The sequence below is a fragment of the Homo sapiens genome, chromosome 6 (assembly GCF_000001405.40).
Source record: "Homo sapiens chromosome 6, GRCh38.p14 Primary Assembly".
In the NCBI taxonomy this organism is placed as follows: domain Eukaryota; kingdom Metazoa; phylum Chordata; class Mammalia; order Primates; family Hominidae; genus Homo; species Homo sapiens.
In genome coordinates, this window is record NC_000006.12 from 168658260 (window position 1) to 168674511 (window position 16252).

Consider the following 16252-nt stretch of genomic DNA (forward strand, 5'->3'; position numbering starts at 1 on the left):
GAGTGACACCTTGTGGCACCTGGGGGCTTCCTGTGTGGCTCCTCCTCTGTTACGGAAACCAGTCTCTGCATTTCTGTAGAAGGCTAATTTTTATGGTCATAATGAGAAAATTAAGGATGGGTAGAGCCAAGTGTAGATCTGTTTCTAACTTTTAATCTTCTTCCATTCCTGGGTGGTGCAGGCTGGTCTTCTCTTTGCAAGGACTCCATCCTGTTAGCCGTTGTCAGGTGGCTTGAGTAGCACCTGAAACGTAAGCCACGCATGGCTTCTGCCCTCCTCAGCCTGGTGCTACAGGGTCATGTGGTCCATGGCCCTTGCTGGGGCAGATTCCTGTCTACTAATTTCTTCAATTAAACCGAAGTGAATGTTGACTCTTTGTAAGGGGGTTGGATGAGTTCCAGCAATTGGCGGGTTTTCAGGTAGAGTAATTGGGCCCAGAGCTGTGATTATGGTGACAGAATTTTGAAAATTTCGGGATGAAACGATTTCAAGATGGATCCACAGCAGTTAAGAAGATGTTCTGTTCTCCTGGAGGCCCTGCTCCTAAGTCACCCTTCCAGAGGAACCCATAGCTCCCCTCATCCTGCATCACCTGCAGGACACAGCTCAGACTGTGTGTGTGTGTGGAGTATGTGTATGTGTGGTGTGTGTGGTGTGTGTGTGTGGAGTGTGTGTATGTGTGGTGTGTGTGGTGTGTGTGTATATGGTGTGTGTGTATGGTGTGTGTGTGTAAATATGGGGTGTGTGTGTTTATGGTGTGTGGGGGTGTGGTGTGTATGTGTGTGTGTGGCGTGTGGGGTGTGTGTGTGAGTGGTGTGTATGTATGTGTATAGCATGTGGTGTGTAAACACTAATACTGGCGCTCTGGGCTGGATCAAGCTCTGTTAGGGCAAATGTCTGGCATTCATCTATGTGTCCTACTATTTTAAAACATAATGTATTGATAAGAATTTTGAGGTGTCATTTGGCAAACAGATCAGGAGACAATTGAAAAGATAATTTGTTACTCACAGATCCCAAGGAGAAGAGGCCATGCTGTGCTGTCGGGGGCCACATGTGAAGCACCAGGGTCAGCCAAGAGACAGAGGGAGCAAGGGACTGGCCCTGAGCCCTCATCATGATTTCCCAGGCAGGCTTGCCTATAAATGAGGTGGCCAGGTTATAGGCTGGGTGAGGGTGGAGGTTGTAGGGTTGGTGAGAGTGGAGGTTGTTGGCTGGTTGAGGGTGGAAGTTATAGTATTGGTGAGGGTGGAGGTTGTAGGTTGGGTGAGGATGGAGGTTGTTGGCTGGGTGAGGATGGAGGTTGTAGGTTGAGTCAGGGTGGAGGTTGTAGGTTGGGTGAGGGTGGAGGTTGTAGGCTGAGTGAGGGTGGAGGTTGTAGGTTGGGTGAGGGTGGAGGTTGTAGGCTGGGTGAGGGTGGAGGTTGTAGGTAGGGTGAGGGTGGAGGTTGTAGGCTGAGTGAGGGTGGAGGTTGTAGGTTGGGTGAGGATGGAGGTTGTAGGTTGGGTGAGGTTGTAGATTATAGGCTGAGTGAGGGTGGAGGTTGTAGATTGGGTGAGGGTGAAGGTTGTTGACTGGGTAAGGGTAGAGGTTGTAGGTTGTGTGAGGATGGAGATTGTTGGCTGGATGAGGGTGGAGGTTGTAGGTTGGGTGAGGTTGGAGGTTGTAGGCTGGGTGAGGGTGGAGGTTGTAGGTTGGGTGAGGTTGTAGATTATAGGCTGAGTGAGGGTGGAGGTTGTTGTCTGGGTGAGGGTGGAGGTTGTAGGCTGGGTGAGGGTGGAGGTTGTAGGTTGGCCTGAATAGGAAAGGCTGCTCCTCACGGTCTCTGGGGATGGGCTAGCTCTGAGAGGGCAGCCTCTTCAGCCTCTTCAGATGTCAAAGCATTAGATAAAGAAAATGAAAGTCATGGTTAATACACCCACTCTCCAAGGAACTGGCCCATGGATTGGGTTCTGATAGAAGGATATGAGTCCCTCATGGGCAAGCTAAATCCCCTAGACAATCTCTTTGGAAGGTGGCAGCACCATACAGACAACTGTTGTGAGCCGCATATCCTGATTTCAAAAGGTTGTCAGTTCCTTCTAGGACTGGTCCGCATTGCTCTCTGCTAAGGCTGAGCAGGACCCTGGTGTTGAAGGATACATGGAGTTCTCAGTAGCGCTGGGAGAAAGCTCTGGGAGGAAATGTTTTTTCATTGCATATATTGATAGACTGAAATGAAGGTAACTTTTATGAGTCATGACCTTCCATGGGTCACGCTTCATGCAAGTGACTACAGAATCGCGATGGCTTAGGACCCAAGCGTTTCCTTCTGGTTCACATAGCATAGAGGCTGTGGGTTGCCACCATGCCGCCCTGGGCGGGAAGGCAGGTTCAGCGCAGGTCAGCACAGGTCTTGGGAAGATGTGGCAGAGAAGCATGAGAGGCTGAGCCACTCGCACAGCCACAAGGGAGGTGGATGCTCAGAGATGGAGCCTCTCAGCCTCCCACCTTCCAAAGGCCCGAGCCGCAGTGTGGGGCAGGGAAGGGGCATGGATGGGCTGGAGTTCTTAGCCCCTGGCGAGGAAGAATGGATGGATTTTGGAGCACAGCGCGATCTCTTCTGATGCCATTGTCTTAGGTGAAAAGTTTAAGTTGCTGCAGAAGTTAGAGTTCTCTTCTTCAGATCCCTCTGAATAATCTGATATGTCTCATTTTTACTGTCTTCTTAGTAATCAAGAAGAAAGAATATGATCGCTCCTAGCAAAATAAACTGCAGTTTGGCAAAAGAGGCAATTTGGTCATGGTCAAAAATGAACATTGTGGTCTTGGATACATATTTAGCTGATTTTGCAGCCCTTTCATTTTCCTTACAGAATTTTTTTTTTTGACTTAAAAAAATTCATTATCAGTTATATGTTTTGTACCCTGTATAGTTTACAATAGTGAAAAGTCAGAAAAACCTAAAGATCCAGGAAGAAATTAGTGAGAACATTCTAAATATCCACACTGTTGCTAAGTTTTTTTTGTTCCCTATATTTTTGCTCACTACTGAACAATGCGCTTTTTATTCTAAAAAATATGAGAAATCAGCCGGGCGTGGTAGCTCATGCCTGTAATCCCAGCACTTTGGGAGGCCGAGGCCACAAGGTCAAAAGATCAAGACCATCCTGGCCAACATGGTGAAACCCCGTCTCTACTGAAAATACAATAATTAGCTGGGTGTGGTGGTGTGAGCCTGTAATCCCAGCTACTCGGGAGGCTGAGGCAGGAAAATTGCTTGAACCAGGGAGTTGGAGGTTGCAGTGAGCTGAGATCGCGCCACTGCACTCCATCCTGGGTGGCAGAGTGAGACCCCATCCAACCTCCCCCCAAAAAAAAGAATATTAGTTTTTTTTTATAACTTTAATTTACAGCTACTTCTTTTTATAACTTTAATCTACAGCTACTTCTAACTCCCAGGGAGAATTCTATTAATCAGCAAGCAATACAAAAAAAACTGGCAATTGTTGAATAGCCAAATTGGCTCAGAATAGATTCAAAGTATCACTCCAATAGTATTTGAATTTGAACCGTTGGCTGAAAAGCCTATATTTTTTCCTGTAAAGTAGTCATTCCAGGCAAGACAAGTAGAGGAACAGCAGCACTCATTTTGGCACTTAGACCATTGAAACCAACTATTTAAAAAAATCATAGATTTAGCCACTGCTCGATGTTTTTGCAATTTACCTAATTGCAAATTGTTTTTCACCTTTTCATACTCTGTTTCTATTTGCGTTATGGCAAGGGAAGACAGTTTGAAAATAGAGCAATTTTGCTCTTTACTCCATGTTTTTTATTGAGTGGATAGAAATCAACAGTTAATCAAGGAATATGGGATGAAGGATACTTCCCTCATCTATTGATTCATTTGAAAACTATTGACCAAGTACTTTCTGCTCTAGATATTGACAGAATAACAGTAAACACACAGGAATGTGTGTCTCTTTAAGGCTTATACTTTGGTGTGGAAGCGAGTCATCAGATAAATAAGAAACCCCACAGCACGATAGGGGTTGCTTGTGGAGGAGGCAGAAGGGAAGGTCAGGAGGGCTGGAACGTTAGATGGGGGCAGGGAGGAGGCCCTGCAAGGTGCGAGTGAGTGGAGACTGGAGGAGCAGAGGAGAACCAAGGGCCGTCGGGTGGAGAGCAGCCTGCAGAGGACAGCAGGAACGCCATGCCCAGCAAGCCCCAGGGGTGGGGAGAAGTCGGGCACTGGAGAGGAACAGGCATCCGGAGTGATGTGATGCCACATGGGTGGATGGGGCAGAGCCCACCCCGCCTCCAGCATAGCCCAGAAGCCTCTGGCTGCTTCTCTGAGTGAGGCCATTGGAAGGCTTGGGTGGAATGTTTTAGAGGACTGCTGGTTTCCATGTTTGTGTAGACAACAGATGGGAAGGGCTGAAGGAGGAGAGTGGTGAGGTGTCTGCTCGGGTCCACGTGGGAGAGGTGGGCGGTTCCGGCCACGGAGCAGCCTGTGCGAGGAGTGTCGGGCTCTGGATAGACTTTGGGTGTAGAGCCTGAGGGATTTGCTCCCAGGTGAGATGAGGAAGGTAGGAGAAGAGAGGCGTGATCATGACTCCCAAAGTTTGCCCTGAGCAGCTCAAGAATGGGGTTACTGTGTCCTGAGGATGGAATACGTCAGAAAGTAGGTTTGCAAGGGAAGATAATGAGTCCAGTTGGGTCCTGTTTCTTTTGAGCTGCCTATTGAATGAAACTCCACATGGAGATAACGAAGTTGGATCTGATAATCTGGACTGAGGAGAGAAAGAGGTCCATGCTGAAGATTACAGCTATTTGTATCCTTGGGAGCTGTCAGGAAATAGAGAGTATTTAAAATCCTGAGGCCAACCTGAGCCCACCAGTGAGTGGGTGAAGATAGGAAAGGGATGAGGATGCTGGAGCCCCTGGGGTGCTTCTCAGAGGTTTCCATGGAGATGCAAGCGTGGAAGCTGAGCTGAGAGCAGGAAGGAGACTTTCCCAGGAAGCTCCGCTGTGCAGAGGGCGGTGAAGCCAGGAGACGGACAGCACAGCTCCCTCGGGCTTTGACTCTACTCGAAGCTTTGAAAAAAACTATTTTGAGCCAAACACGTTCATCTCTCCTGATTTTAATATAGAAGCAAAAGACTTCAAAGAGCTCTTGTTGGGGCATTGCTGATGGCTTCACTTCCGGCACCCCAGGGACGTGAATCCCCCGCCTTCTGGGGAAAGGTTGAGAAACATCTAGAATTCAGCTCTCCAGGGAAGGTGGATTTACCTTAGAGTTTGGGGTAAAGTAAAACATTCTTCTAAGGCTGGACTAGAGAATCTGTATGTTAGAAAGTACTTACATAGTTACTTTCATGATCCAGTACTCATAATTTGTGTTGAATGTATATATAGTTAGCTCTTCTGTGGATTCAAGCAAACTTGCATCAAAAATGCTCAGAGAAAGAAAAGATGCAAATAAAAAAATGTAGTATAGCAAGTATTTACACAGCATTTACATTGCATTAAGCATTATAAGTAGTCTACAGATGATTTAAAGTATATAGGAGGTGTTCAGATTATATTAAAATATTACACGATAATATATAAGAAGCTTGAGAATTGGAGGATTTTGATATGCAGGGGTCCTGGAACCAATCCCTTCTGGATACTGAGGAATGACTGTATGTGGTTTTTTTCATATAAATGAGTTTGCCAATTGATAACACCTTCCTAAAGTGATGTGGACTCCTTCCTGAAATTGTGTTGAACCTTTCATTAAATAATGAGTCTCTGATTTTTAATAATATCTTTTTTTTTTCCTGCTAGCCCCCAGAGGTCATGCTGAAAGTACGTCTAATAGACAGGTAAGTATGTTTATATTTTACTCTTAACCATTTCGTTTTTAAATTATAAACAATAAAAATTCAGAGTTATGTAGATTTGCAATGGCCAGTACCTTCCAAGAAAATCCAAGAAAATAAATAATTCAAGGGAGGCAAGCTTACTGACTACACCCTATGGGGACTAAAGCAGCCTTGCCGAATTCTATCCGAAATCACCAACTTGTTTGAAAAAAGTTTATTATTTGAACTTTCATTTATTAAGAAAAATTTCTGAGTTTCCTTGTTTGGTAGATCTTTTTTTTTTTTTTTTTTTTTTTTTTTTTTTTAAGAGAAGGGGTTCTGCCATGTTGCCCAGGCTAGTTTCGAACTCACAGGCTCAAGCAATCCACCTGGGATTACAGGCATGCGCCACCGTACCCGGCTGAATTTTTTCAAGCAATTGTCTGAGTGTTTGTAATTTGGTTCCTCCATTTTGTCAGGGAGGTTGCAGGAACAGGAGGCATCCTGCATAAGCAGGTGCATTTCTGCTTCTTTTGGGGTCCCAGCAAGACAAGTGTTGGGCTCCAAAAGGGGCTTTCGGCTCCTGCTGTGTGTTCACAAACATGTGTTGTGTTTCTGGCTCTCCCTCTCAATTTGCAAGTAAAGGATGCAATGGTGGTGTCCTCCAGACCCAAAGCCACAACCCATCGCAAGTCAAGAACACTTTCCAGAAGATAAACATGAGTGGGTTCATGTCTCTCTCCTTCAAAGCCAGGACAAAATCCCCACTTCTTTGCTGCCGCGAGTCAATTTGTGATTTATTTTGTCTGCACCTGTTTGATGCCAGGTCGACATTTCCTAAGGCAAGCCCCTGTATTTGTTGTGGATTTAAGTGGAGGCGGCCAGCACACACCTTGGATGTAATTTAAAACCATTTCCTGAGGAAAGATGTGTGATATGCTTTCCTTTGTTTAGCAAATGTTTATGGTTTTAACTTTAAATCTCACCGCAAATCACTTACACTTGAAAACAGGGCTGGTCTGAAAGTAATTACCCTCCCTGAGTGCCAAGACCTCCAGAAGTTGTTTTCATTCCCGAATGGCAATCACTGTACTCATGCGCTCCACGCATCTTAAATAAACTCAGTTCAAAGCACATGCCTCCTGCTTCAGCTCTTTTTTCCAAAAAGAGAAACAGAAGCAGGTTCCCCCTCCTTTTATAGTGCCTGCGTGGACACGCGGACCTCCATGCCTTTCATGCTGTGGCTATGTCAGCAAACTACGATATTGGGATGATCCTAACGGGCAAGCCAGCTGCGGCTCCTACCGGCCGTGGCCATTGAAGGCCACCATGTTGCTTTGAAACATCTCAAAGAATAACATAGTGCCAGCCAGCAAGGGTTTCACCATATGCATGACCCAGACAGGAACTATCAAAAGAAGGGATCACGGGAAGGTGCATGATGCTAATGTGGAATCCAGAGGAGCTCTTTCCTGATCTCTTCAGCTTCCGCTGCCACTCCAGAATCATCAGAGCTGATATTAAATAAGTTAAAATGTTAGTCCACCGTCTCCTCCTGCAATCCTAACCATCTTTTGAGACTGTTAGAATACTTTGACGGGTTGTCTTTCTGTGCAACTAATTTAAACCTCAAGTTTAGTGTAGGAGATGGGTTTGTCTTCTCACCTCTTCAGATCTTTATCAAGGGGGAATAAAAGCCAACCCAGAAACCTAAACTTTAAAATTTAATTATTTGAAATAATAAAACAGAAGAAGGGATCAACATTTGTCGGAATTGGCACTCTTGGAAAACTAAGTCTAGGAGATCATATATTGCTTTTTTTTTTTCATTCTAAATTACTTTTAATTGAAAGTCAAGATGCTGAGTTACAGTTGTTTATCATTATAATAAGCAAACTTTTTAAGTTGGATTTCTTCTTAAAGAGGTAAACTAGTGAACAAAAAAGATAAAAAGGAAAATTAAGAATCAACTATGCCTTTATCAAATTTGAAGCATAAGTTATATTATTAAAATTATTTTTGTATAATCAAGGTGATAAGACATTCTGGAAAACATTTAATGTATTTAGTACTTAGAATATTTACAGTGGATGTTACTTTTTTGAAACGATATATTTTTCCCAATTTTTCTATCATGTCAAGGAAGGAAACTGTTAAGAAGTTACCAGTGTCCAAAATGTCTTCATTGTTTCTTACTCATACTTACACCTCACATGACCTGCCCAGCCCTCTTTGGTTCAGTTCATTCCCAGAAGCCAAGCCTTAGTCTTCACAGATGAGCGACACACACCTCTGAATATAATGTCTCTTTTTTGTTTTTTCCTTTTCAGCCAAGGAAACAAGGATAAATGGCTCATACCCCGAAGGCAGTTCCTAGACACATGGGAAATTTCCCTCACCAAAGAGCAATTAAGAAAACAAAAACAGAAACACATAGTATTTGCACTTTGTACTTTAAATGTAAATTCACTTTGTAGAAATGAGCTATTTAAACAGACTGTTTTAATCTGTGAAAATGGAGAGCTGGCTTCAGAAAATTAATCACATACAATGTATGTGTCCTCTTTTGACCTTGGAAATCTGTATGTGGTGGAGAAGTATTTGAATGCATTTAGGCTTAATTTCTTCGCCTTCCACATGTTAACAGTAGAGCTCTATGCACTCCGGCTGCAATCGTATGGCTTTCTCTAACCCCTGCAGTCACTTCCAGATGCCTGTGCTTACAGCATTGTGGAATCATGTTGGAAGCTCCACATGTCCATGGAAGTTTGTGATGTACGGCCGACCCTACAGGCAGTTAACATGCATGGGCTGGTTTGTTTCTTGGGATTTTCTGTTAGTTTGTCTTGTTTTGCTTTCCAGAGATCTTGCTCATACAATGAATCACGCAACCACTAAAGCTATCCAGTTAAGTGCAGGTAGTTCCCCTGGAGGAAATAATATTTTCAAACTGTCGTTGGTGTGATACTTTGGCTCAAAGGATCTTTGCTTTTCCATTTTAAGCTTCTGTTTTGAGTTTTGCCCTGGGGCTTGAATGAGTCCCAGAGAGTCGTTCGGATGGTGGGAGGCTGCCTAGGAGGCAGTAAATCCAGTCACAGTGCCTGGGAGGGGCCCATCCTTCCAAAATGTAAATCCAGTCGCGGTGTGACCGAGCTGGCTAACAGGCTTGTCTGCCTGGTTTTCCTCCTACACGTGGACATTATTCTCCTGATCCTCCTACCTGGTCCACCCCAGGGCTACCGGAAGGTAAAATCTTCACCTGAACCAATTATGAGCAGTCTCCTTACTGAAGGTACAGCCGGATACGTGGTGCCCCCGGGGCTGGTGTTGGCAGCCGGGGGGAGGTGCCTGAGGGTCCCCACGGTTCCTTTCTGCTTTTCTGAATGCATCAAGGGTACGAGAACTTGCCAATGGGAAATTCATCCGAGTGGCACTGGCAGAGAAGGATAGGAGTGGAATGCCCACACAGTGACCAACAGAACTGGTCTGCGTGCATAACCAGCTGCCACCCTCAGGCCTGGGCCCCAGAGCTCAGGGCACCCAGTGTCTTAAGGAACCATTTGGAGGACAGTCTGAGAGCAGGAACTTCAAGCTGTGATTCTATCTCGGCTCAGACTTTTGGTTGGAAAAAGATCTTCATGGCCCCAAATCCCCTGAGACATGCCTTGTAGAATGATTTTGTGATGTTGTGATGCTTGTGGAGCATCGCGTAAGGCTTCTTGCTTATTTAAACTGTGCAAGGTAAAAATCAAGCCTTTGGAGCCACAGAACCAGCTCAAGTACATGCCAATGTTGTTTAAGAAACAGTTATGATCCTAAACTTTTTGGATAATCTTTTATATTTCTGACCTTTGAATTTAATCATTGTTCTTAGATTAAAATAAAATATGCTATTGAAACTATATTAGTCTTTTTTTTTTCCAGCTAATTGCAGACTTTGATCATTGCTTAATTGTACAAGTGTCCACTGTAAGGGAGGGAAAGGTGAGGGCTCTGGGCAGAAAGAATTGGAACCCTGGCTGTGTCCCTGAGTGGTGTGTGACTTTAGACATGACCCCTCAGTTCCTCCTCTGGGATGCGGGGATGCTGGTGGTATGAATGAACCTCCTCCTTCCACACATGGGAAGAGAATTATGTGAGTTGTTAATGTATGTAAAGTGCTTGGAACCTGCACCCCAGGTGTGCCACGTACATGTGTTTGCCCTGACCATGTGGAAGGTCATCTGCCCGTGAGTCTTAAGTCCACACTGCCCAGTGCTGCTGACATCACCCAATGCTATGGGAAACTTCAGAAGAAACAAAAAGAGTGCCTTATTTTGATTAAAGCTGGTGGCCGGGCACGGTGGCTCACGCCTATACTCCCAGCACTTTGGGAGGCTGAGGCAGGTGGATCATTTGAGGTCAGGAGTTTGAGACCAGCCTGGCCAATCTGGTGAAACCCCATCTCTACTGAAAATACAAAAATTAGCTGGACATGGTGGCGGGTGCCTGCAATCCCAGCTACTTGTGAGGCTGAGGCAGGAGAATCACTTGAACCTGAGAGGGGGAGATTGCAGTGACCCGAGATCACACCACTGCACTCCAGCCTGGGCAATAGAACAAGACTCAGTCTCAAAAAAAAAAATAAAAATAAATTTTAAAAAAAGCTGGTGCTTTTCTCCAAGTTATACAACTAGAAGCCTGAGCCCACTCCTCGCATTCCCCTCCCCCACACCCTGCATCCCCCACACACCTAGCATTCCCCTCCCCCACACCTGCTGTCACCCTCCCCCACACCATCATCCCCCTCCCCCACACCCCACATCCCCACCAACCTCGCATTCCCCTCCCCCACACCCTGCGTCCCCCTACTCCTCGCATTCCCCTCCCCCACACCCCGCGTCCCCCTCCCCCACACCTGCTGTCACCCTCCCCCACACCGTCATCCCCCTCCCCGACACCCCACATCCCCAACCTCGCATTCCCCTCCCCCACACCCTGCGTCCCCCCCACTCCTCACATTCCCCTCCCCTACACCCCGCGTCCCCCTCCCCCACACCCTACGTCCCCCTCCCCCACGCCCCACGGCCCCCCCCACACCCCAGGTCCCCCTCCCCAACACCCTGCATCCCCGTCCCCCACACCCCGCGTCCCCCTCCCCCACACCCCACGCCCCCCACAACATCCTGCGTCCCCCTCCCCCGCACTGGCATCCCTGCCTCGCTTAGGCCCTCGTGTTTTCCTTGGACTGTTGTGGTAGCATCTTAACGGGACACACTTCCTCCAGGATTCGTTACTGCCTCCTGGTCCTGGTAAGTTCCCCCAGCCCACCCCAACCCCACACACAATTTTCTTTCTATTCAGAAAAAAAGTGATCTTTGTAAAACTGTCTTAGCATTGGCCATGACGATTGTGCAGTAAAGACAGTGCTGTGAAGGGCATTAGCACAGGGCTGCTGTCAGGGAAAGCTCTAGCGGAGGTGGAGCTTCAACTGGGATTTGAAGTAGGTAGGAGAGAATGAAGTGTCCAAGAAGTCTGAAAGAGCTTGAAAAGATAGGAAGGGAAAGAGAGTGGGGAGGCATGGAGCCGGTGCAGGTGGTTCTTATTGCAAAATATTAAGATTGCAAATCCAAACCAGAAATCTTTCTCTTACCTAGGCCATGTGGCTGCTTCTAGTGAAAGATGCCTCCTTCCCCAAACCATCCCCCACTCTCCTCCTTATGTCTGAAAAGGCTTGCCTGCATTTTTGTCAAAAATATCTTGGTTGGACATTTATTTTAGAAGCATACTGACCAACTCATAAATCATGCCCATCATTGCCACACCAGAAATATTTTAAATGATCCAGGTGAATGTTTTCAGCTTTTTTTTTTTTGGAATCAATGTACAGAAATAACTGACATGATCATAAGCTGCCAATTGGACAATTGAGTCAAGCAAACAACAAAGCTACTCAAGAAAGACAATATGGGCTGGGTGTGGTGGCTCATGCCTGTAATCCCAGCACTTTGGGAGGCCAAGGTGGATGGATCACCTGAGGTCAGTAGTTCGAGACCAGTCTGGCCAACATGGTGAAACCCTGTCTCTACTAAAAATACAAAAAAATTAGCCAGGCATGGTGACAGGTGCCTGTAATCCCAGCTACTTGGGAGGCTAAGGCATGAGAATCACTTGAACCTGGGAGGTGGAGATTGCAGTGAGCCGAGATCATGCCACTGCACTCCAGTCTGGGGGACAGAGTGAGGCTCTGTCTCAAAAAAAAAGAATTAAAAAAAAAAGTGTGAATATATAATTATACAATGCTCATTTGTCTTTGTCTTTATCCCTGTGTGTTGTCTGAGGTTGGTCAGTCTAGTATGGGTCTAGTATGGTAGTCTGGGCTCTGCTGAACTGGCCGTGTGCTTCAGGATGGGCACGGGTGGGCTGGAGTCTCATCCTTCTGGGACTCATGGGTCATGAGGGGCAGGCTCCTGCACAGCTGCGGCTGAAATGCAAGGAAGTCAGCAGGACTGCACAAGCACACTTCAAGCCTCAGCTGTGGCCTGTCTGCTAATATCTGCTGGGGGAAGTCTGTCATGTGGGTCAGAGCAAGTCACAGGGCTATGGCAGGGAGTGGATGCAGAACGCCCCTCACAGTTATGAAATCTCACCACTCAAACTCCCATCGACACACGCTTGTCTGCTGAACCTCCTTCTGACAAAGCAGAAAGGCCGGGGAAGGGCGTGCACACTGGGGCAGTGTCAGGCAGTGGGAAGTCGCAGATACGGGGGTTAAACTAAAATGGAACAGGGGCCTCCCAGCTTACCAGCAGCATGACCTGCAGGCCGCAGGATCCCAGCCTCCTCAATTTCAGACCCTGGACCAGAAAATGGTGTCATTGACATCTCCCCCTCAGAGCTACTGTACGTGGAACAGGAGATTGTACGTGTAAAGCCTGATGTGAAACAGGCACTCAACACAGGCCATCAGGAACTCAAATATGGGTGTCAGAACCATTTTGTGTCAAATGATTCTGAATTTTCCTCTTGAAAGAGAATAAAGGATGGGGAAAATTGAATCCACAAACCTGAGCAATACACATCAGGTCAAAATTGCAGGTCTTAACCACCTACAGAAGGAAACTCTCCAAAGGTGATAGGGGAATTTTATGCTGACTCCTCAGAAGTGCTAGCAATTGACTTCGCTTATAAGAAATAGAAAATGGAAAACCAAATCCCAGTGGCCTAAGTCCACGAGTTATTTTTCTCAGTTAACAAGAGGACAGGCATAAATCGAACCTGTGTGTTGATGCAGCCAGCCGCGCCGCCCCTGCGTCCTGGTCCCTCCTCTCCGTCCTGCATCCATGTGGGGAGGCTTCACCCCTGCGCCCTGGTCCCTCCTCTCCGTCCTGCATCCCTGGGGGGAGGCTTCGCCCCTGCGCCCTGGTCCCTCCTCTCCGTCCTGCATCCCTGGGGGGAGGCTTCACCTCTGCGCCCTGGTCCCTCTTCTCCGTCATGCATCCCTGGGGGGAGGCTTCACCCCTGCATCCTGGTGCCTATTCTCCTTCCCATCCGCGGGGGAGGTTTCACCACTGCAGTCCAGTCCCTCCCCTTCTGTGGAGAGAGACTTCACCCCTCCGCCCTGGTCCCTCTGCTTCTGTGGAGACAGTCTTCAGCCCTCTGCCCTGGTCCCTCCACTTTGTCCTCACGCTGCCCAGAGGGCTCCTGTGCCTTTGAGCATCTGGCCAGACAGGACCCAGGGTGGAGAGCAAGGGCAGGAAGCAGAATATGGCACATTTCATGATTTTAGTTTTCCCCTGTCCCGTCTAGTGGAAGTCTGCTGGATTTCACTGGCCACTGACGTCTCTTCTTGGCGTCTCTGGCTTCAGAGTTTTAACTGGACATTTTCTGCTCAGGAAAGAATTGGAGTTCTGTAAGCCAGGCGGAGGAGGGACTGTGGTTATGGGCAGGCCGCGGGCAACGCGAGCCACAGGTGCCAGTGGTTTAGGCTTAATGGTACATTTGACACCTAATGATTTTTATTCCAGCTTTTATACAAAGTAAATGCCTTATTTTTCTACTTACTTTCTCTGGACATCTGAATGCTTACTAAGTACTGACAAAGTTGATTCAAAGTTAATTCAATTCGTGTGCATTACATGGAAAAAAAAATTTATATATCTTGTTATTAATGTTTAACTTCAGAAAAAAATATTTTGCTTCCTTATGTTAAAGTTGAAATCATGCTCAGTACAAAGATTGTGTCTTTGTTGCAAAAGCTGGAATTTTTATGGTCCCCAGCCTGCTCTTACATTGCCTTTCAATCTCCTGCAGCTACTGTGGTTGAGAGGAAAGGTGTCTTTTTATTGCTTCTAGAGACGTTGAAAGTGTGACCTGAGGTAAGGCTCTGAATGTTTTAGTTCAAATGTACATATTCATGATTCTCTGAGTATTGTAATAGATGTAAGTTTTATTATTTAAAATATATCAACTCACTTGCTTTTTCATCTAAGAAAATGGTCTTTTTCATTTGGTAAGTAATTTTATTAACTGAGCCCTGTTATAATAAAAGAAATGGATTTTTAAAAGTAAAATAAAATACGTAATGTCTTTTGAGATGGGATCTTGCTCTGTTGCCCAGGCTGGAGTGCAGTGGCACCATCTCAGCACACTGCAACTTCCGCCTCCCAGGTTCAAAGGGTTCTCCTGCCTCAGCCTCTTAAATGTGTTTTCAGATGGAGTGAGGAGGTTGACTTGGTAGTTAGATTGTTTTTTAATGTGAGAAGGAAATAGTGGTCAGTCCTGGCTTCTCCGAGCAGACAGGTGTGACCTGGAGCGTGCACGTGCCCAAGACTGGCTTCCCCCGACCTTGCATCTGAACAGCTTCTTCAGACCTTCCAGACGTTCCGACCCTGGGCTACACACTGAGCCCTTCATTAAATGCCTTCTCCAGTTTGGGAAAGAGGAAAAATGTAAAAGCAGAACGTGTTGATTCTGATACTCCAACCTGTAAGGAGAGGGAGCCCACGACTCTTGCCATTGTTTAATTTGGAATGAACTAGAAACCCTGCATCTCTGGGAGGAAATCCTTCCTAAGCATGCACACGTATGTCACAAGGTCCTTAACGCACAGCCTACAACTTAAGCATTTTCTATCCCCACAGCACCTCATAATCATGTGAAAAAGACACTCAAAAACTACCATTTGAATGGATGGATGAAAATAACCTCCGTATATTCTACGAAGATGTTTAATAATAAATAGGTTTCGTTATAAGAGAATGTGTGTCACTTCGTCTCTTCCCTCACCCCCGAGACTTAGTGACAGTTATTTTTGACTTTTCCAACTATACTATTTGCCTAGAAAATGTGTCTATTAAATAGCGTATTGAGAAATAAGTTGTATCCTGCCATTAATTACCATTATCAAGACACGTCCCAGGCAAGATAATAACAAAAACAACAACAGAAGATCATGGAAGCCTCAGCAAGGAAACTTTTCAAAGTCGCTAACCTCGTGGTCCAGCAGGGAGAGGTGGTGGGCGACTTACCGCTGTCAACCTCAGCTCTTAACTCACGGAAGATTATGTTCTCACTGTCACAGATTCCCCACTCTGACCTCAGAAACAGTGTCCATGATTGTCAGCCACTTGGATTATTCCTTCACCCAGAGTTTGAGCAACAGCACCTTTGTTTCATACCCCAAATCAACCATTCCTAGAACTCGCTGTTTTTGTTTGCTCCCTTGAGTCTTAGTTGTTTGCAGTGTGTTGGTGGAGCTGAGCTGTAATGCACGATTGATCCATAGGGACTGCTGAGAGTTTCTTTGCTTGAAGGTTTGATGTGAATAAACACATCACTGTCTTACCAGCTTTTTCTTCTTTTGAGAATACACATGCCAATATTTAGAAAGTATATTCTTCTAGATACCATAGGGTATATTTTTGACAAATATTAATTACTTGCATTAAATGAAGTCATAATGGACACCATTTCAGAAATCTTGGATTCAACAAAGGATTGTCCAGACCTCACAGCTGACATCAAATGAAGATCTTCTTCACAATTAAATGAATATATTTTCTTCTTAATATGCTTATTTCCATTGTCTTTAATTATACCTGTTAGTTAATAAAAACTCTTCTTCTAAGATTTCTATTTTTCATATTCTGATGGTGACATGGAAGCGTCATCTGATACATTTGCATTGAGCATACTATTTTTCATGTTCTCTGGACTTTTGTGCCTGAAAAAAAAAATGTAGAACTTATCTTTTTGTTAAATACTAAACACCCACAAGTTTTACAAAGCTTGCTTTTTTGCAGAGTAAGGCATAAAGGCTGTGTTCTATCTTGTTGATGAAATGCAGATTGAAAATTAAAAGGAAAATCATTCACTTATGTACAACTTGGGTAGGAAGACCTTCTAGCAATCCCAGCTGGTTACCTTTCGGGTGCTGAAAA

General features: G+C 45.7%; 1 protein-coding gene and 1 long non-coding RNA gene across 5 annotated transcripts in view, besides 3 other annotated features; both read left to right on the forward strand.

Annotated features, from left to right (window-relative positions):
• Positions 1-9733, forward strand: part of SMOC2 (SPARC related modular calcium binding 2) — a 226809-nt gene extending 217076 nt beyond the window's left edge. For 2 of the 4 annotated variants that reach the window (NM_022138.3, NM_001166412.2), the window contains exons 12-13: positions 5815-5852; positions 8162-9733. In NM_022138.3, the coding sequence (NP_071421.1) occupies positions 5815-5852; positions 8162-8179 (56 nt within the window). In that variant the 3' untranslated portion in view covers positions 8180-9733. Of the gene's footprint in view, positions 1-5814; positions 5853-6476 lie in introns of all 4 variants that reach the window. The other 2 variants (XM_011536066.2, XM_011536065.2) reach the window with 2 other exon arrangements.
• Positions 883-1383: an enhancer, noted in NCBI's record as "H3K27ac hESC enhancer chr6:169059822-169060322 (GRCh37/hg19 assembly coordinates)". NCBI's record gives its function as "activates a minimal SCP1, AML or CMV promoter by ChIP-STARR-seq in naive H9 embryonic stem cells {active_cell/tissue: H9 hESC(naive)}" and the evidence as "EXISTENCE:reporter gene assay evidence [ECO:0000049][PMID:30033119]".
• Positions 8642-9143: an enhancer, noted in NCBI's record as "H3K4me1 hESC enhancer chr6:169067581-169068082 (GRCh37/hg19 assembly coordinates)". NCBI's record gives its function as "activates a minimal SCP1, AML or CMV promoter by ChIP-STARR-seq in naive H9 embryonic stem cells {active_cell/tissue: H9 hESC(naive)}" and the evidence as "EXISTENCE:reporter gene assay evidence [ECO:0000049][PMID:30033119]".
• Positions 9144-9643: an enhancer, noted in NCBI's record as "H3K4me1 hESC enhancer chr6:169068083-169068582 (GRCh37/hg19 assembly coordinates)". NCBI's record gives its function as "activates a minimal SCP1, AML or CMV promoter by ChIP-STARR-seq in naive H9 embryonic stem cells {active_cell/tissue: H9 hESC(naive)}" and the evidence as "EXISTENCE:reporter gene assay evidence [ECO:0000049][PMID:30033119]".
• Positions 13995-15939, forward strand: LOC124901467 (uncharacterized). Its single transcript, XR_007059885.1, has 2 exons — positions 13995-14188; positions 14954-15939. It is a non-coding gene; the product is annotated as an uncharacterized LOC124901467 (long non-coding RNA).
• The last annotated feature ends 313 nt before the right edge of the window (positions 15940-16252 follow it).